This window comes from Homo sapiens, chromosome 11, assembly GCF_000001405.40.
Source record: "Homo sapiens chromosome 11, GRCh38.p14 Primary Assembly".
Classification (NCBI taxonomy): Eukaryota; Metazoa; Chordata; class Mammalia; order Primates; family Hominidae; genus Homo; species Homo sapiens.
In genome coordinates this window covers 131,637,577-131,658,307 of record NC_000011.10, presented here as the reverse complement: position 1 = coordinate 131,658,307, position 20,731 = coordinate 131,637,577, and the positions used below count along the sequence as shown (strand labels likewise).

The 20,731-nt window shown below is 44.5% G+C and overlaps 1 protein-coding gene across 22 annotated transcripts in view, besides 1 other annotated feature; it reads right to left on the bottom strand.

Annotated features, from left to right (window-relative positions):
- The window catches only part of NTM (neurotrimin), a 966,208-nt gene that overhangs the window by 678,515 nt on the left and 266,962 nt on the right, over positions 1-20,731 (bottom strand). The window lies entirely within an intron of this gene.
- Positions 13,806-13,985: an enhancer, noted in NCBI's record as "active region_5759". NCBI's record gives its function as "activates an Ori minimal core promoter by ATAC-STARR-seq in GM12878 lymphoblastoid cells {active_cell/tissue: GM12878}" and the evidence as "EXISTENCE:reporter gene assay evidence [ECO:0000049][PMID:35858748]".

Sequence of the window (20,731 nt, the reverse complement as noted above, 5' to 3'; positions counted from 1 at the left end):
ACAGGCCCTTAAGTTCTTATTCATTCAAGAAAATCTTCTCAAGCACATTCTATGTGTAAGTCCCAGAATAATTTCTTATTGAATAGGAGAATTCTGAGAGATGACTGCATTTTCTGTGTACGGTGGACAGAATGGAAGAAATGGAACTAAGATCCTAGCCCTGGGAGAGACTGAAAACTTAATGGAAAGAGAGCAATATGCCCATAAAAAGTTAGGGAAATAGAAAACCATGTTGTCCCACGATTATCTCCCCACCCCACCCCTTTATCTTTGCAAACCTTATCTACAATTGAAACCCAGCTTAAGTGCCACCTGGCCCCTCAGGTCTCTTCAGAGCTCACTTCAGAATGTGTCACTCACATCTCACTCTTCCCCTCATACTCAACAGCTTGCTGCCTGCCTTGCCCTGTGGTTCTGTTCTGTTTTGCCATGTATTTGAGTCTGCTGTTTCCACTCTGCTCCTACATTTTGACTTTGCAACCCTGACAACATCTAGCCCAGGGTTTTCTGCAAAATGAGTTGTAAGAAAGCTCGAGGTTTCCAGACCTTTGTGAATGTGGAATTTGCAGATAAAAGATTGTGGGTCTATACACACTACTGTGATATGCTGAGATAGTGCTGGGATTCCAGCGATAAGAGATATGATGCCTGCCTTCTTATATCCTGGCAAGGCACACAGATAAGTAGGTGCTGAGCTGTAATATAGCATCCTATTGACAAGACAGAGGTAGGCATGGGGTGTTCTGAGGAGACAGTGGAGAAGTGTCTTCTATTTTGGTGCTAATAACAATACAAAGGAAAAACAAACTGGAATTGGTGGAGACCATCAACAAAAACTTCGAAGAAGAGGCTGGCCCTTTGCGAGCAGCTACCTGCTGACATGTGGCATTAAAAACACTGGTCCACCCTCTGCCCTTTATTCTTCCACGCCAGGGAAAGCTTGACTTGTTTTTCTCCCTTCCTGCACGGCATAGTTCTTCTGCCATGGAATTCCCCACTGACCTTTCCCAAATCGAAGGCTGGCCTCAGATGCTTTCCTCTCCAAAGGGCTCAGAACCCTAGACAGCAGCTAACTCTCAGACTGGGCCAGCGCTTGATGCTGGGCCTCCACTCAAGGGTCCCCTCACCTGACCCATTTCGATGATTTTTTTTTTTTTGGGCTGGTCTTCATAGGGCCATTGTAAAACCACAAGTGGAAACAGCTCAACTGCTCAAAGAGGGTTTCATCTGAAGGGCTTGACCTTCTCCAGGCCCGCCTTCCTCCCCGCTAACAATGCAGAGAAGCACTTGGTTAACCCCCTCAGTTCCAGAGCCAGGGACACTCCTCAGCCTCCGAGAGCTGAGCAACAGCGCCAGACCACCACGGTGGCTCACGGAGCACAGATGACTCGGTCAAACTTAAAAAGAGCAGATTCCACGTGCAATTCAAGTGCTTTCTGCAGAAGTAGGTCATCTTCTTGGGAAGTGTTTATAGTGACAGTTGCATACCTACTCCAAACTTGGACCTAGACTAGCTCTGTCTCAAACACCCTCTCTGAAGACTTCTGGGCCTCCAAGAAAAGAAAAACAGGGTGAAAAAGCCAGAGCTCAGCGCGCAGGGGCAGAACGAGGTAGTGCCCCTTCCTCCTCCTCCCCAGCTCTTATGCCCCGCCCTCCTCCTTTGTCCAAACCAGAACCGGAAAACCCATCAGCAGGAGCTCTGCCTCCTGTGACCTGCAGCAGTATATCTGTGACACAGGCTACAGGTAGCCAAGCCTCCAACTCCTTCTCCTTAGCATCTCTCAAGGACCTATGTCAAGTCCCAAGTCTATCCATGTGGTTGGGAGGATGGTTCCCAATGCCTGCAGTTATTCACTGGATTCAGAAGTGCCTCCTCACAGCCCATGCTGCATCGCAGGAAGGAAAAGAAAGCGAGAGTTGCTTCTGTGTCTTTTTAGGTGGGGAAATGAAGTGGGGTCATCTAGAGGTGCAGTATTTTTAGGCAAGTCTTTTTAAAGGACTGTGTGGGTGGATTTAAAATCTTTTCTCCAGCCACCCCCGTAACTGGGATGGTGGTGGTATGGAGACGAATCTCTTACACTTTTTTTCCTGAGGTCTTTTCTTTCCTTGCATAAAACACTACTGGAATGCAAAGCCTTCTCCCTTTACCTACCCATGTCTCCTCTATGCCCTAGAGCGTGAGGTCTGGCACTAACACTTTGCTGGTGGGAGTACTGAGGCCCAGGAAAATGGCAGATGAGGATCTGGTGGATTTGAGGGAAATGAAGGAAAAGCAGGGGGAACTGACCACTGGTCTAGGCTGTCCCTCATCTGCCCTCCCATTCCTTCCCAGGCTGAGGGAGGAGGTCCTCCCAGGACCTAGGGCACAGGTTCAATGGTGGGATAGGGCAGGTGCCCAGATGGCCAATCGATTTGGTCCCAGCACTTCAGAAAGGCACTGCTTCTATGCTGCTCTGGGTCTTCCAGTGGAGACTAGAATTTCTCTGAGCAGCACTTTTACTTTCCCTTCATTGCCTCACACAGAGCTTGGCTGGGTAGGAGATGTTTCTTTTCATTCCAGTGAGCATATTTATTAATTTCCACAGTCAGATCGAACAATGTGCTAAACATCTAGGGGATCTCAATTGTCCTCCCTGCCAGTCCACCGTCCTTTCTCCACCACTTCTGAGTGGGGAATGGACCCGGCAGGGGCTGTGGTCCCAGCTCACCAGCAGGCCAAGCCCACAGCCTCCCATACGTGTCTTTTACAGCAAAGCAGCTGAGAGCAGCCCCCTGCACAGAAACAACCGAGCCAGAGACTTCTCTGTGTTTCTGGAAGCCCTGGAGGTTGTTGCTGACCTTGCCTTTTTTCAGGTTTCCTGTTTTTCTCTGAGGTGTTGCCAAAAAGGAAGGAGGAAGGTACCAGATTAAATGCTACTAATTAGCATCTTCTCCCGGATGATGGAGCAAGTGTCTGGAAATTGCTAAGAATTCCAGAAAACACAAAGGATAGCTCTGGTGTAGGGTAAGGATGGGAGCCTCTGTTTTCTTAACAGCTAAGCTCTCAGATACTAAGCCAGTAGTTCTCAACTTTGTCTGCACACAAGAATGACTTCAGAAGACTTGAAAAACCCGCATACTCAAGTCGTATCCCAACCCCATCACCTCAGAATCCTTGAGAATGGGACCCTGCACTCCTGTTTCTAAAAACTCTCTGAGTGATTCCAACATGCAGCCAAATGTGGGAAGCAGTGTGCTACAGCGTGCCCGAGGACCGGCGGAGTGGCGGGGGCGGGGTTGGTAAAACACAGGTGCGAGCCCCAGGCCCAGCATTTCCGATTGAGTACATGTGCATGTGGCCTGAGATTTTTCATTTCTGAGTAGCTGGGTGGATTAATCCATTTTGCATTGCTATAAAAGAATACTTGAGACTGGGTAATTTATAAAGAAAAGAGGTGTATTTGGCTCACAGTTCTGCAGGCTGTATAAGTAGCGTGGCTCCAATGCCAGCTTCTGGTGAGGCCTCAGGGAGCTTCCACTCATGGCAAAAGGCAAGGGGAGTGGGTGTGTCACATGGTGAGAGAGGGAACAAGAGCAAGCGTGGGAGGTGCCAGGCCCTTTTTAACAACCAGATCTCAGGCGAACTAACAGAGCCAGAACTCACTCATTACTGCCAGGACCCCATCAAGCCACTCACGAAGAATCCGCTCCCATTACCCAACACCTCCCACCAGGCCTCACCTCCAACCTTGGGGGTCACATTTCAGCATGAGATTTGGAAGGGACAAACACCCAACTATATGACTGGGTGATGACACTGCTATTGGCAGAGACCGGACTCTGAGAAGCTCTGCATTAGATGGAACCCTGAGACTCCCGGAAAAAAAAAACCTGTCGGGACTGGACGAGTTGCTTTTCAATACAACTGCGGTTCTTGTGGCCGTGAGGTCCCCTCACCTCCTCCCAGGCTTCCCTGGGACACACAGAAGGACACCGGCCCTGCCTTTGGCGGTGGGGGTGGATGGGTCACATGGCTTTTCCTTGACATTCTAGGGCTGCGCCTGGAAAGGAAGCCTTAGGTGAAAGGGGCTTCAACCACTGAAAGAAAAGGCAGACGACCTCCTTTCTTCCTGCCTCTCCTGCTGACAGAGGATTCTGACTTTATGCCTTTAAAAATGAACCCCACGATCCCACCAAACCTCCTCCTGAGGACAGGAACAAGGTTGTCTTCTCCCACCATCACCGGTTACAGTCCTGTACACATGAGAGCTGTCTGTTGAATTAATCAATGAATGAACTCTCCATCTGACGGGCAGGGAAGCCAAGAGACAGTCACATTGTTGCTGATGGAGAAGAAGGTATTGTTGAGCTTAATCGACAAATATTGAGCAAACACCTTCAATGAGCACCTGCCCACCTTCCTGATAAGGCTGGAGGCTGTAACAACCTGAGACAGGAATTTTACTTGCATGAAATTATATAATTTCCAGCCCAATTATCACCAATGTATCCTGGTCATTCCGAAAGCCACTCCTCCAAAGGACAGCCTAGAAAAGAGGCCGCGGGGGGAGCCCTCTGAGGGGGTGCTTTGGTGTGGTCCCCACCTGTGTTCTCATACTGGAAGCTCCACCAGGACCCCACACGCAGGGGTGCCCTACACTCTCAGCTCCAGGCACTCGGGTAGGAGCAGCAAGCTGGCTCCAGCTTTGCATCCTGCTAAACATCTCACAGTTTGCACAGATGAGGATTGCCCTCCACTCAGCCACTGTGGCAGGGGAGAGGCAGAGCCAGGGGGCTGCATTTCTCCCTCCCTCTGAGCTTGTTCATATAGTAAAACACAGAGGCCCCACTGTGACTGTTGATCACATCCAAAGCAAAGGCAGGTTTTGAAATTCATCAGAGATTTCTTCCGCAGCTGCAGGCAGCGAGGCCTGAGCCTTCCCCTCCCCCAGGGCCCTCCGGCTGATGTCCGTCCTCCCCTGGAAGCAAGGAAGACTGTGAGGTTGTCTTTCCAGTGGGCCACATCTGTTTCTGAAGGCTAAGAGAGACAGCAGGTGGAGGGAGACATGTGAGACTGAAAGAACAAAGGAAGAAAAAAAAAAGATAACCTCAAAAAAAAGGTCCCTAAGAAAGGAAGACTACAAAGCAGGGACCGAAGTCTCTTCTTTCCTGCCTTCTCCTTTCTGGAGCTGGCTCTGTGGTCCACACAGGGCACACCCATGGGAACCTGGTGAAGGAAGCCTGCATCATCCAGTCCCTGGGAGAAATTGCAGCAGCTCGTCAAATAGCGGGGTGGCTGTAATCATGCTACAGTCTGTGATCGGTGGGTTTTATGGAGATGTTTTGGAGACTGGTAATAAGGTTGCTTCCGTCAACAATCTGGCAGGGCGGTAAAGGATGAAGGCAATTGTGCAGGTTGCATTCCAAGTGGCTTTCTGAAGGCGGAGTGACCGCCACCCATGGCCACCTGTGCCAGGGCGTACTTCCTGATCGGAGGGTCTGGAGTGCCCCGACTTGCTCAGATTCCTGCCCTGCTGCAGCGTGGAGCAATCCTATTGTGTCTATTCTCATTGGTTTGCTTGTTTTCATTGAGAAAGCAGGTCTAAGTCCCGCTGCCCAACAGGCAGGGGAGGGCATGCTGGACCAGTCACAATCCAGATGCTGACAAATCCCCCTGCCCACTCCAGAACCCGCTCTGCCTCTGTCCACAGGTAGGGTGAGCCAGCTGCTGTCTTGCCCCAAGTTGGGCTGCTAAGTATTTGACAACAGTGCTGAGCAGCAAACTTCCAAAAACATCAACTGTGAGAGTGAGTTGAGCATGTCAGGAGATGAGCCTGGGTCCCTGAAGCCTCTCGTTCTTCTGTCAGCTGTGCATGACCTTGGGTCTGGGCCCCAGGCCAAGGGAACAAGGCCTGGGGCACCACCTTGCTTTGTTCTGGTTTGTGGCCACTGGAAATCTGAGTACATCGATTTTCCCAGTAAATATATCTGGTTGCCAAGGAAGCCTCATCAGGAACTGTGAGTGTTATCTCAAGCCTTTTCTCATAGAAAAAAAACACAATGATCATGTCTCTATTCAGGTGCTGCTCCATGTGTATAGCCATTTACCTCCATTCTTAGGCTCTTTGATCCTCACAGAAGCCTTATGGGGCCAATCTTCTTTTACATTTCCATTTTACACAAGAGGACATGGATATTGGGAAGGCTGTCATTTTCTTAAGGTCACAAGTTAACTCATAAGTCTAGAACTCGAGTGACATGCTCCCAATCCTGTGTCTGTATTCTAAGCATTCTCTGATGGGAGAGTGTCTGCTTCCAGGACAAAGAGCAGCTCTGCTGGGGGCCACCTCAGGCTGTTTGGGCCTGTATCTATCTGTTCCCTGACCTCAGAACAGCACAGCGGATGAGCTGACCTAAGCTTCCCCCGGAGTGGAATCCATTTTGCTTTTTATGATATTTTTTTTTTTCTTTTTTTGGGTCGGGGGGGCGGGGACGGAGTCTCACATTGTTTCCAGACTGTAGCGTAGTGGCGTGATCTCAGCTCACTGCAGCCTCCGCCTCCTGCGTTCAAGCGATTCTCCTGCCTCAGCCTCCCAAGTAGCTGGGAGTACAGGAGTGGGCCACCATGCCCAGCTAATTTTTGTATTTTTAGTAAAAAACAGGGTTTCACCATGTTCGCCAGGATGGTCTCTATCTCTTGACCTCATGATCCACCTGCCTCGGTCTCTCAAAATGCTGGGATTACAGGCGTGAGACACTGTGCCCGGCCTTTATGATCTTTTTATCCCCAGCCTAGGAGACAAAGATTTAAATGCACTAGTCCCGAGCTGAATGTATGACCAAGAATCCTACCAGTGCTGGTGAATGAGCTTTATTCCACAGCATCTGCCAGGGAATCTTGCTTAAAGTTTACTATGGAAGATGTGCAATTGATTTGAATGCAGATAACAATGAGTAGCTAATTCTCCATAAATGTTTTTAATAACTGGTTGGTATTTATTCAACTTGTTTTTTGACTAGCTATACACAACTAGAATTTATGTGGTGCTTACTGTGTGTTAAATGAAAATCAAATGATTATTAAAAACATTTACTGAGGATTAATTCTGCAATAACCACCTACACAGTATCTGTCAAAGTAAATCCTCAACAAATGCATATTTGAGGAGCTTAATTTAAATTGTTTTTATGAAGCAAACTTAAAAAAATACTTTTGAGAACAGTCGGTAGTTGCAAAAGTCAGGATCTAAGGTTTGTTGTTCACTCAACTAAAAATGACAGCATTCTTGGTCTTTTGTATCTACATATTTGTAAACCACATGCACCAAAAACAAAGAACTGAGCAAAAAACTAGAAATCTTGGTCAATAGATTAAATTTATATGTAACTTATTGAAGATTAATAGTATCTAAATGCCTAGAAAACATGTGGAGCTAGCACTGGAGTCACCCAGTCTCCAAACAATGACTCATTTACCAACCCCTGAAGAAGAAGGAGGCCAAGAGATTTCTCGATATTTTCTTGAAATTATATAACAGAATTTCCCAGTAATTTTTTTAAATTTGGTATTTTTTTTTCTGATGTAGTTTAAGCTCATTTCCTCTGGGGAGGGCATAGTAATAATGGGAAATAGTAAATTACTGTTCCTATATCCCTCAACAGAGCCCTTCTTACATAGATGATGATGGTGATGATGATGATGGCTGTTTATTGAGAACTTTCTGTGAGCCAGGCACATAATCTCATTTTATCTTCACAAACATCTTCTCAGCAGTCTTGTTATTTTTACTGTTTTTCATAGTAAAATAGTCTTTACTGAGAAACCAGGGAAGTCAAAATCTGAAGGCTGGACCGAACTTTCAAAAGCTCTGGCAAAGAATGAGGAGCCATGTTGGAGCAGAGGTCTGGCAGAGAAGAGAAGACAAATGCAGACCAACATCATCCAATGAGGTCAGTAATGTAGGAGAAGCAATGGCCCCTCGCCACAGTGAACCAATGTTACTCTAAGTCCACACCTCTTGACTAGCACACCTGTGAGGATGTACCCCCCAAATTTAGGAGGGCATTGCTTTTAGAATCACTGGGGAATCCAGAGATTTCATCTTCAAGAAAGAACATTTGCTTGCAGCGTTGCCTATCAGAGAACATGGTGTCTTAGTGAAATGGTACCTGGGACTGCCTCACGGTCCTGCTATACCATGAATAGTCTGTGTGGTGTTAGACAGCATTACACCTCCCTGGGCCTTGTTCCCTCCTCCAGAAACCAGAGGCAGTGAGAAGGGTGATGCCTAAGCTTCCTGCTTCCTTCCTGTGTAACTGTCTGTGGTGTGCTTCATCAGATAAACGGGAAAGAAGCGTGTCTGCTCAAAGTCTAGAGCAACTGCCCTGGCACCACTGTTGACCTATGGGCAGGTCATTAGAATTGAATAGATCGTAAGGTGGGAAGGGGGTCAGTCTGGGAAATGCTAACTTTGCAAAACAAGCCTATTTAACAATTACTAGCATACAAGAAGTGTTCACCCCAAAAGTTAAGAAGAAAAAAAGCACAAAATTATTGGTTATTCATGGACTATCATCCACTTCCCTTTCACCTATCTGGTCACCATGTGTATTGGCTGAGAACCTAGAAAGGCTTAAACTACATGCACCGCCTCCCCCCACCCAAACACACACATACAGAGTTTACTATCTACGGTGTTTCTGCTGAACGAGGCGATTAACTCCTTGACCTTATGGAACTCTAGTGTGACCTCGGAGAATAGATAGAATCTTGTTATCTTGTAATGAGTTTTATGGCTTATTTCAGTACATCTCAGCCATGTTTCTCTGGTGATTAAGGCAATTATCAGCCCATGCATTTTAGGATTATGAATAATGGAGCTCTCTCCAGGTGATGGAAAGGCCTTGGGAACGTTCAGACCACTTTTTATCCCGTTCAATACTTATTCCCATACTCCCTCCCCGATATGCATAAACAGACACTGCATTCTGTTTCTGGACGCACCATGGTGCCCTTTCTACCCTTTACTTGGATATGATTATCACAGCAATAACTTTTAGATTTAATTGATGTAAGTAAATCCCCTGTTTACCATTCATGGGTGCCACGCACAGTGTTTCAATTACTATCATTATTGCTTAGGATCTGGGGAAAGGTGTCACTTGATCTGAGCTTGCCATCTTCCACTACAATGTTATGGCTTGAGTGCCAGTGATTATCTGAACAAACGTAGTTGTTCGAGTGACCAACCTTCCCCCGTGCACCTGTCATAGTGCTCGATGAGAGGGAAAACACGGGCACAACATCAGCGGACCTCAGGGGGCCTGCTTTTTTCTCAGGCTCATGCTTTGCTCTTTGTCAAGTCCTTACTTTACCTTTGAATTCATGTAACCCTGGGTGGTTTTTATTCTTCTATGTCTTCTTTCTGGATGTGCCACCAAAAGTAGTTCCTGAATATTCCTTAAAAAGGCCTCCCAGAGAAATATGCAATATATGATAGATTCTATATCTTCCCACCCTTTAGTAAGTATAGTGAGGAAACAAGAGTGTGACGATAGTTTACATCCCACCATCTACTCACTGTTACTGCCTCTTTTTTCATAGTATGAATAATAAAGGCATGTTGGTATTACAAAGAAATGGGGTTTGTAAGAATATATGTTATCAAAAGAAACTAGGTCTGAAGCTGTACTTGTCGCAGGACACAATATATGCCTAAAGGAAATTACCTAAATTAAGAATTGAAATCATCTTTTCTAAAGCACAATGAGATACCATCTCATTCCAGTCAGAATGGCTACTATTAAAATTCAAAAAATAAATGCTGGTGAGGTTGGGGAGAAAATGGAACACTTATACACTATTGGTGGGAGTGTAAATTAGTTCAAACATTGTGAAAAACAGTGTGGTGATTCCTCAAAGAGCTGAAAACAAAACTACCATTTGACCCAGCAAACCCACTGTTGGGTATATATACATACCCAGAGGAATATAAATCATTCTATCATAAAGACATATTCACATGCATGTTCACTCCAGCATGACTCACAATAGCAAAGACATGGAATCAATGGTGGACTGGATAAAGAAAACATGGTACATCCACACAATGGAACACTATGCAGCCATAAAAAAGAACAAAATCCCATCCTTTGCGGCAACATGGATGGAGCTGGAGGCCATCACCCTTAGCAAACTAATGCAGGAACAGACAGCCAAATACCACATGCTCTCACTTATAAGTGGGAGCTAAGTGATGAGAACACATGGACACAAAGAAGGGAACCACAGACACTGGGACCTATCAGGAGATAGAGGGTGAGAGGAGAAAGAGGAGCAGAAGAAAATAACTATTGGGTACTAGGCTTTGTCACCTAGGTAACAAAATAATCTGTCCAACAAACCCCCATGACACGAGTTTACCTATTAACAAACCTGCACATGTACCCCTTAACCCAAAACAAAAGTTAACAAAAAGACTATCCTTTCTGGATAGTTAAATAAAACATATCTATAAAGTACACATACATTAACTTTTTCTTCTGTTTTGGGTCCCTGAAAAATCCTGGGGCAGTAATATTTTGACCCAGCATGGTATAATATAAAAATCACATATGAATTTATACCCCAGTTCCATCATTTACAAATCATATAATTTTGGAAAAATTGTTTAACTCTGCTAAGGCTTAATTCTCTCGTTTATTAAATGGACATGATTTATAGAATTCACAACTTTGGCAAGAATCAAATGAGATAAAATATAAAAATTACCTGGCAGGCTGTGCAGCTGATTGTATGTCAGATCACACACCCCCAAGTTTTTCTCATCACTTGCCCTTCTTCAGGGTCCCCTTGTTTGCTAAGGGACTCCCCAGATGACCTCCCTCCACAATATTTTACAGAGTAGCCCACAGGCAGTGTAGGGCTGCCCATTGCGAAGCCATCCCCGAAGGTTAGAGATGCACTGTTCCATGCCTGGCACTCTTTAATCACCTATTGATGTCCATCCGCGCAGCTACAAAAATCCTTGATGGTGCGACTTTCAAGTCTGAAGTAAGCCCTGAATTTCTTTCTTTGCTCAGGGTTCATATTTTCCCTGCATCAAATGCTTCTGAGTCTCCAGGACTTGCCTTGCTATTTCTGGACCCCTCTCCACGATCCCCTTGACCTTTAGTTAAGGAAAGTTGGTGGGGGATATAATCCCACTGAGAAAACGTGTGGGATTTAAGATGAGTTCACCCCGAGTTATCAGGTGGCACAGCCAGGGTACGAAGAGTAAACTTTTCACACACAGCCGAAGGCCTGGGAGCCCTGCAAGGCAGTGCATTATTTTAATCTCCCCTTTTGCGTGTTCTGTCCACATTTAATTCTGGACCTAGAGCTTTACATGCTCTTTAGCAAGCACTTTATAGTGTGAATGTGGCCGAGAAATAGTGAGCACGTCCTTGTATGTCTTCTATAATATAAAAATCAATACTGAAAACTGGGAAATATGTCTCACTGGGAATAGTAGGTTAAAATCGGAACAAAACTCCAAATGTTGATAAGGCTGAGATTGAAACCCCCTTTAGAGTTCATGTTTTTCTCAGTTCCCCACTATACGTTTCTGTTGGAGGTATCTGACGGTTATTACATCTCCCTAGAAGTTCCTGGCTAAATTGCAAGATTTGAAAAAAAACGATTCTAAGTGTGAGACAATACACAAAAAATTTTAGTACCACGTATGCTAAAATGTCCTCTAAAAAGGTAGAGCACAATAAAAAATCTGGAACTTCATCTAAAATCTGCATATAAATAGACCATGGCACTGAATATTCTAAAGAAATAATTGACTTGCAGAAACAGAAGTTCAGGGGATCTCCTTTTCAAACTGATACTAGTAGAAGAGAAAAGAAATGGGTTAGGGCCTGGGGAAGAAAGCTGGACTTGTAGAATTTTTTTTCTTTGTGAGTTTAGAAGAAAGGATCCACTTTTTTCTTTATACGCATCAAAAATAGAAATAGAGAAAAGGGCCAGGTAGTAGATCTTCAGGCTAGCAGGCCCTCTATTCTCTGATTCAACTATTCAGCTCTGCTGTTGTCTCATGATAGCAACCACAGACCATATGAGAAAGAATGAGTGTGGCTGTGTTTTTATGACACTTTATTTATGAAAAGAAGCAATGGGTTAGATCGGGCCCATGGGCACAGTTTGCTGACCCCGTCTTAGATGATCAATTGCGTATTTGCCCTTGAAGCCTGCCCAGGAAGTGGGCTTATCCTCTTATCAATATCTCTGTGCTAACCATGCACATACATGCAGCTTCTAAATCTTTCACACCTGTGCTCCGTACTGACATGTCTATAGCTAAGGTTGATATTAGGTTTCATACTTTAGATTCTTGGTTAGACGCAAAGCCTTGGTATCTCACTTTGCAAAAGCCAAACGTCATGAACGTTTCTAATGGTATAGAGTGATGTTAGGATCTTGATTCAACCCCAACATTAGCTGTGCATCCATTCCATATGCTCCATATAACCCCATGTCCACAGACCTATCCAAGATCCCATTGAAAGAAGTATGAAAGGCAGAACATTTGACACTCCGAAGGAGAACTTCCAATCAAATGGAGAAAACAAAAAACATATATACACACATATTTTAAAAGATACAATGTACTAATAAGTAAAAAAAAATGGACATAAAGGCGTAAGAACTAGAAGAATGCCAAAGTACATATTTAGATGAAGGCTTCATAGAAGAGGTGAATTTTTAAAACTAGTGTCTGTAAAAGAGTAAGATTTCACTTGAGGGGAAAGAATAGATTTCCTGTGGTTTGGTTTAATACCCAGAACTCCTTTCCCTATTTAGCATGTAGGTCTGAAGGTGTCTGACGTGACTGAAAGGCAATGCCCTTTCACTCCTTTCCCCAGCACGTCTGCTGCCTCTGCTTGCTCTCCAGCCACTGGTGTCTGACTCAGGAGGACTGGGAGCATTGCAGAAAGGCTGGGAAGAGCAAACGCACGGCGAGGAGAAAGGAGACCCCTCTTACTGGGAAGGCCTCACAAAGCAGCAGCCTCATACGATTTTCAAGTGCAGGGCCTTGTCATTAAAACTAAACCCTGCTGCTTTCTTATCACCTTGGGGTGGTTACTTTACTTCTCTATGCCTCAATTTTCCAGCTATGAAATGGTTAATAATATTATTGACCTCATGTGATTATTGTGAGGTATACTTACTATAAATAATGCACTTAAAATAGGGCCTAGAGTCTGGTCAGGGCTCAATCTGTGGTACATTTTTATGTGGACACAGGGTACAAGGATCCCCAAACGTGGACCCAGAGAAGCTTGACAGAGTACACGCTTGGCAATGCTGTGAGCCTGCCTGTTGTCGAAGGAGCACTTGATGGAGTTTGGTAGCAAGTGTAACAAAATGAGATAAATGAAGAGGTTCTAATTCCCATTATAAAACACCTGAACATACATGGGCTCACTGCCAGCATCCTAAATTCTTTTTTTAGGAAAACAAAACAAAACAAAACAAAACTAAATTCCCTTCTTACCCAAATTGGCCAAAGGAAAAAAAAAATGTATCTTTCAATCTTCTTAAGAAAAATCCATCATGTTGATAAAATATTTAGGGAAGGAAATTGAGAAATTCTACAACCTAAGCCCCTTATCATAAGTATGTTTCTAAGAGTTATATACCATGATGAAGAAAATCCAAATATGAAAGGATTTCTCAATTCCTGCTGGTATACCGCATTGTTATCTTATGTGGTGTTTAGAAAATAAACTTCTGTGGCGAGTAATGAATTTGGGCAGTCCCTCAGCAAGAGCAGGCTAAGTAGTAGGAGTCCCCCTTCGTTGGTACGGTTTGCTGGCCATGAGACTGGACTGATGGGACTATCTGGCTAATAATCAAAAGAACAGAATGGGAAACTCCCTGGGGCAGCCCCAGTCACAGGTCCTAGAATGCAGCTTGTCAACATCCCACCACAGCCACTGGAGCGAGAAGTTCAGGTATGATCACCTATTTAGGTATAATCACATATATTCATGTATTCCACATGAGTAGGTAAATAGATACTCAGTCTAATGGGTCCCTCTGAGCATCTTCAACCTCCCTTGGCTCTTTGCTCCTCCCCTAATGACAGTATCAGTCTCAGCTAGGAGGCAGAGAGGAAGGGAAGCTGAAGATGAAGGGAAGGAATCTCTTGGGGAGGTCGCATGCAACCTCCTGCACATTCAGCCGAAGCCATACCACCAGAGTTCCAGCTCCATGGCCTCTGAATCCATTCCCCTGACACCACTCTGTATTCTCCTGGGAGATTCTGCAGAAGTCGTCTTATAATGAATGATGATCAAAGAAGTTCAGAATGTCTGTGCATACATGATTATGCCCATATTGCCAAAATCCAAAGCAGAACCCATGTTGTGGTAGTGTGTACCCTCAGGACACACCTCTGGTCTCAGGTCTGGAGACCTCTCAGTCTTCTTTTACAACTCTCTCACAGTACTGAGTTTGTCCAAGTGAACTCTCAGCCTGGCCCTGTATTCTGTGACCCACAGATCTGCAGGCTCGGTAATGGCAGCACACGTTTCTGCACTGTGTTATTGTAGCTCCAGCAACCAGACAGCACATAGTAGGAAGTCAATGCGTATTTTTTAAACAGTTGAATGGATGATAGACAGGGTGGTTCAGTAGGACTAGGGGTCCTGCACTCCCCTCTAGATGATTAGGCTCACTGCAATCTCAGGATAAATGTATCCATAAGCTTCTGTGCGACACGAGAGAGAGAGAGAGAGTTGAGTAGAGCCCTAGGGACTACTGATCCAGGGCAAAGGACAAGAGTTGGCCAGCTCTTGAGGAAGGGGCCTTAATGTCACTAACAGCCTTCATCCCCTGGGTCTTCTACTGACATGACGAGTACACAGTGCTCATGCTGGGCCGCTCCGCGCACACCCGGGTACACCATGTGCTGGAACCGTCAGCAGGCTTCCTGCAGCCCTCTGGGCCACGACTGGCACGGCCAGAACAAAGCAGGCACATGGAAAGTGTCATATCAGCAGGAGTCTCCTGTTGATAGAATCATCCCTTAACTCACTCTGAGCTGTGCCATTTAATTACCTTGATCCATGCTTTGTTTTGCTAAAGTGAATGTCACAAATTGAGTGTTACTTGCTGAAAATAACGACAGGGGCTCGGATGCTTCTGTAATAGGAATTGAAATATGATCTCTCTTTTCCCCTCAACCATTTTCTCATTCCCCCCTTCTGAGTTTTTTTTTTTTTTCATTCTTTTTCCTTTAAGTGTAGAATGTAAAATATTAATTCTGAGCAGAAGTAAAATTAAGCCCTCTGGAAACGATTCTGGGAAACGGAGCCACAGCCTGACTTAATTAAGAAGCGATTATGCTGAAGAGCCTATATTAAGGCTTCACGTTTTGGGTACAGAGAGAATTGCTGTTAGAGGAGTCAAGTCAGGTAGCAGAGGGGGACTGAGGAAAAGACAGGACGATAATTGGATAGATGAGAAAAAGCAATGTTTGTTGTAGTAATGAAAAAAATAGTGGGTGAAATTTAAATTGGTTTGGAGATTCCTCAACACCATCTTTCAGAAAGGTCAAGATGAGGTGTCACTATGTCCTCCAAACTTTTTGGATGACCCCAGGTTGGGTCAACTCCATTTCTTTTCCTTCCCCTGTAGCTTGGGTGTCTGGACAGGCATCAGGGAATGGGCCATGTCTGTAGCAAAACTCCAGGGAACGTGGTTAGCCCCCTGCTGCTCTAAGGATGGCAACAACTAATCAGCCCCACAAATTTATGGGCTCCAGGGATGTGAGCAGATGGGTGTTTAACTTAACAGCAAATCCAATTTGTCCTCCATTAATTCCAGAGTGATACCTGAGTTTATTGGAGTTTTATATTGTTTCATCTGTTTCAAAGTTGCTTCTCCCACTTCCCCAAATTGTTATTCTTTTGACAAGCAACTATCTGGATCTCTCTCCAGTTTCCAGAATGAAGTACTGACTCAACTTCACACTGCTTTGGCTCTCTAATGTGTGGAGGATGCCTGGGAGTCAGGTTCCTGGTGGTCTTCACAAGCTAGAGCTTGCTTCCCACACCTTCATGTCTGTGAGGCTCCATGTTGCCTGCTTAGCACTGTTTATCCAGCCTGACCAACTGCTCCAAGTGGCTGCCGTGTGTCAGGAAATGGCCCTCCTAAACAATACCAGAATTTTAGTGAGTATCTCCTTTTGTTCTCCTCTTCACTAAAGAGTCATTTTAAAGATTGGATGTCTTAAAATCTAGAATATTGGGGCCGGGCACAGTGGCTCATGCCTGTAATCCTAGCACTTAGGGAGGCCAAGGCAGGTGGATCATGAGGTCAGGAGATCGAGACCATCCTCGCCAACATGGTGAAACCCCATCTCTACTAAAAATACAAAAATTAACTGAGCGTGGTGGCATGTGCCCGTAGTCCCAGCTACTGGGGAGGCTGAAGCAGGAGAATCACTTGAACCCGGGAGTTGGAGGTTGCAGTGAGCCGAGATCATGCTACTGCACTCCAGCCTGGGAACAGAGGGAGACTCCATCAAAAAAAAAAAAAAAAAATCTAGACTATTAGAGCTTTAAAGAAACTCAGTTATCCACTGAATTAATTTGCAAGTAGTGCACCTTTTGTGGCCACTGCCAATTATCTAGTCTTTTCCTCTCAAAGAAAAGAGGTTGGCAACCCATAGCTTCCCCCCCTTGGAAATGGCAGGCAGGCTGACAGTTCAAAACCCCAGACAGGTATCAGTGAATGACCTTCAGACTTTCTCTTCATTTGACCTCACCAGACCAGGGATCCATGGAGGTCTCAGAGAGGCTTCGTAGAGGTAGGTCGCAGCTCTACCACCTAAGATCTGCTGCAACCAGAGACGATCCCTTCAGTCTGGTCTATTTTAAAGTGTTCCAATGTGAAACAGATTTTGAAAACCACCAATGTAGTCTAACTCCCCTCTTTTTATCAATGAGAAAACAAAACAATGAAAACTAAGGCTGAGCAACATTAGTGGCTTTCTAAGATCACAGCAGCAGAATATCAAGTAAAACTCCGACTTCCCATTCAAAGTCATGCTGCCATTTTACAGAACTCCTCAGTGTAGTGAACAAGGAAAACATGATCGTTGTCATTATCACATTGACCTGGGTAAAGAATGCAAGTCTGACCAGAGGGATTAGGAACCAGTGTCAGTGTCGACAGCCATTAATTGTCCTCAAGTAGCAAATGAGCACAGAGAGACTGCTCCTAAGAATATGCGGTTGCTTGTGTAGACCAATTTCGGGTCTCTTGAGCAATGTCATCCCTATGATTCCCTTTGTATTGGTACTGACAGCAAATATAGAGTGCTGATATTCCTGTCTGGAAAATACGAGTAACTTGCTTAATTCTGTAGCCTGGTGAGCAAAGAAAAGACAGAGATCAGTTGCCTTTAGTTATTGATGTGGAGACACTGTGCGCCAGATACAGTCATTCTTATCCCAAATGGCCTAGGAAGATTTTAAACAATTTTAATGTTTAGGTCCCTCCTTGAGATTCTGCTTCAGTAGTTTTAGAGTGGGTGGGACAAGGACATCTACAGGTTTTTTAAACCCTTCATGGGTAATTCCCATATTAAGAAGGGTGAGGTGACTGGCTTAGCAGGCACAGCACTTAATTGAAATCACCTGTGGAGTGAGACATCCTGCAAGTGTGGCCTCTGGACTCGAAGTCTCACATTTCACTAGGAAAGTAACACAAGATCTTTCTCTAAGCAGTAGGGTAGAGCCAGCCTCATTAGCAAGAAAAAAAGATGGCAAATTAGGTCAATCTCATGGTTCAGGCAACACCAAAATACGGCTGATGAGAGCCTGCAGGAAGCCTCTGACGGGAGGAATGAGTCCTCCCTGGGCTTTACTTTCCACAGGTAAGAACGAACAAAGGCTGCGTCTTCCTTTGTGAATAATCTTTTTCAGGATATATGCATCTCAACCTTTATTGAACCCATTTTTGCTCTTAGTCTTTGTCTTATTCTCATAAGAACAGGTTGCACATATTTATCCTTCCAGCATCAGGAAGTACTGTTTCCTCCGGTTTGGTCTCATCCTTTGCTTAGGCTTAAGGAAACCCTTTGAAGATTATATTCTTCCCAGCTGCAAGGAGGTTACAGAACCAGCACAAGATCACAGAAGAAAGAAAACAAAAAGACGTTCTCAGAATTGGAGCTTCTCTGCCACCATCCTCCTCCGGGATGGACGCCCCCATGTCTTCCTAGCTCAATAGAACCAGAAGAGAAATTGGGCCATTCACTTTTTTTTTATTTATTTATTTTTATTTTATTATTTATTTTTATTTTTATTTTTTGACACGGAGTCTCGCTCTGTCACCCAGGCTGGAGTGCAGTGGTGTGATCTTGGCTCACTGCAACCTCCGCCTCCCGGGTTCAAGTGATTCTCCTGCCTCAGCCTCTCAAGTAGCTGGGACTACAGGCGCCCGCCACCACACCCGGCTAATTTTTGTATTTTTAGTAAAGATGGGGTTTCACCATGTTGGCCAGGCTGGTCTCGAACTCCTGACCTTGTGATCTGCCTGCCTCGGCCTCCCAAAGTGCTGGGATTACAGGCGTGAGCCACCGCGCCGGGCCAGGGCCACTCACTTTTTGAAAGGTTACCAGCCTCTCCCAAGACAGGGCCCGAGAGGTCTTTGCATGGTGGGGCAGAGGCAACGGTTGTGCTTCAGAAAGAGATTCTTCTACCCCTTAGTTAAACAGAAAATAGTTAGGTCTTGCAGTTCCCAACTATGCAGAACTATATCTGACCTACGAGGTAGGATGTCTGTGGTGTGATATCAAAGACAGCACGTGTAATTTTTTTAGTTTTCTAAGATTTCTTTATTGAAAGTGGCACTTCCATTTCAACTATCAAATTCTTATCTGAGAAATTGCCATTTTCTCTGGAAAATAAATGCTATCAGCAAAGAGAGGAAGGCACAGTCAACAACTTCTTAGTAAATCCCCAAACCGAAAGAAAAACAAACAAAAAACAGATCCAAAGTAGTAGTATCACTTTCCATTCCAAATGGTATGTCTACAATTATTTCTATGCTAAAAGACGTCTTAACATTCTAGAATACACACTGCTGTGACTACCACTGTCTTATTTGTTACAAAGGCAATATGAGATAGTTGTACCAGTGTGAGCTCACGTGGCCAGGTTTGAACTCTCAGCTTTGACACTCAACAGCTGTGTGACTTTAGGCAAGTTACTTGACCTCTCTGTGTCTCAGTATTCTCATATATCAAATGAGTATAATAGTAGCAGCTGGCCGATGAAGGTGCTGTGAAGATTGAATTGGTTTATTTATACAAAGTTTTTCAGAAGAATACCTGTAAGCACTTAATGAGTCTAAGCTATTATTGTTGTTGTTATTATTCTAAATTTAAACTTTTTTTTTTTCATATGGTGTACAGGGAGAAGTATACTGTTTCTATTTTAGAAATTAAAAAAACAAAACAAACCAAAAATACCTGAGACCAAACAGATTGTCCAAGATTTCCTGGCTATTTAGTGGCAAAGTCTGGGACTAAAATCTAGGTTTTCAGAATGCTATCGTTATCCTTAGAAGGGGGTAGAAATGGGATGTCATAATGGTATGACTTGAAGCCAGCCCATTTCATTTTATCAGAGCAATTCCAGAAAAGTTTTCTTTATGTGATTTACCTATTAGGCATCTTTTTTTTTTTTTTTTTTTTTTTTTGAAGGAGTCTCGCTGTGTCACCTAGGCTGGAATGCAATGGTGCAATCTCAGCTCACCACAACCTCCGCCTCCTGGGTTCAGGCGATTCTGCTGCCTCAACCTCCCCAGTAGCTGGGATTACAGGCACCCGCCATCATGCCCGGCTAATTTTTGTGTTTTTGTAGAGACAGGGTTTCAGCATGTTGGCCAGGCTGGTCTTGAACTCCTGACCTCAGGTGATCTGCCCGTCTCGGCCTCCCAAAGTGCTGGGATTACAGACATGAGCCACCACACCCTGCCTCCTTGTTAGCATGTTTTCAAATTAAGTTTTTAAAAGTTTTTTAAACTTAAATTTAAAAAACTGTCTATAGACTGCCCTCTCTTATATGAAAATAATGCTCCTAACCTTATCAATAAGGTACATTTTTCCTGTGATTGGTAACTACTATGCTCTTCATCCCAGAAAAGGTTATGCTGCAGAAGAACTGGGATTTGTCAAACTAAAGGAGCTCCTAAAATAACTGTGGTCACAACATTAAGGCTTGTGTTACGCTTGGTGTAGCCATGTGACCTGGTTAAATACGGCTACTGAGGACATGGGGCTATGGAGGATATTTTGCTTTGTTAGTCATCAGTCCACAGAGAAACTGATTTATAGGAAGAGACTAGAATCAGAGTCTGCAAAGCAAATAGAAAATTCTACCATTGTTGAGAGCACATTTATCCCAAGAACTTTAATTAATGTCTAATCCTTGTAACATCTCTGCGAGATACCTTCTCTTGTGCACCACCAGGTTGATGAGCCAGCCTGGCTTTCAGTAGATCAAATTTCATGCAAAATATCTACTTAAGATTGGTGTGGTTTTGTTCTTTTGGCTTGGGCACCACAGGAACTGGAAAGACGGTTGGTGGTGAGGAACGGGAGCAGAGATGAGCAGATAATTACTACCCTCAATAATGGTATGAGGAGGTCAGATATATAGTTGCCACTTATCAGCCTTGGGGGTA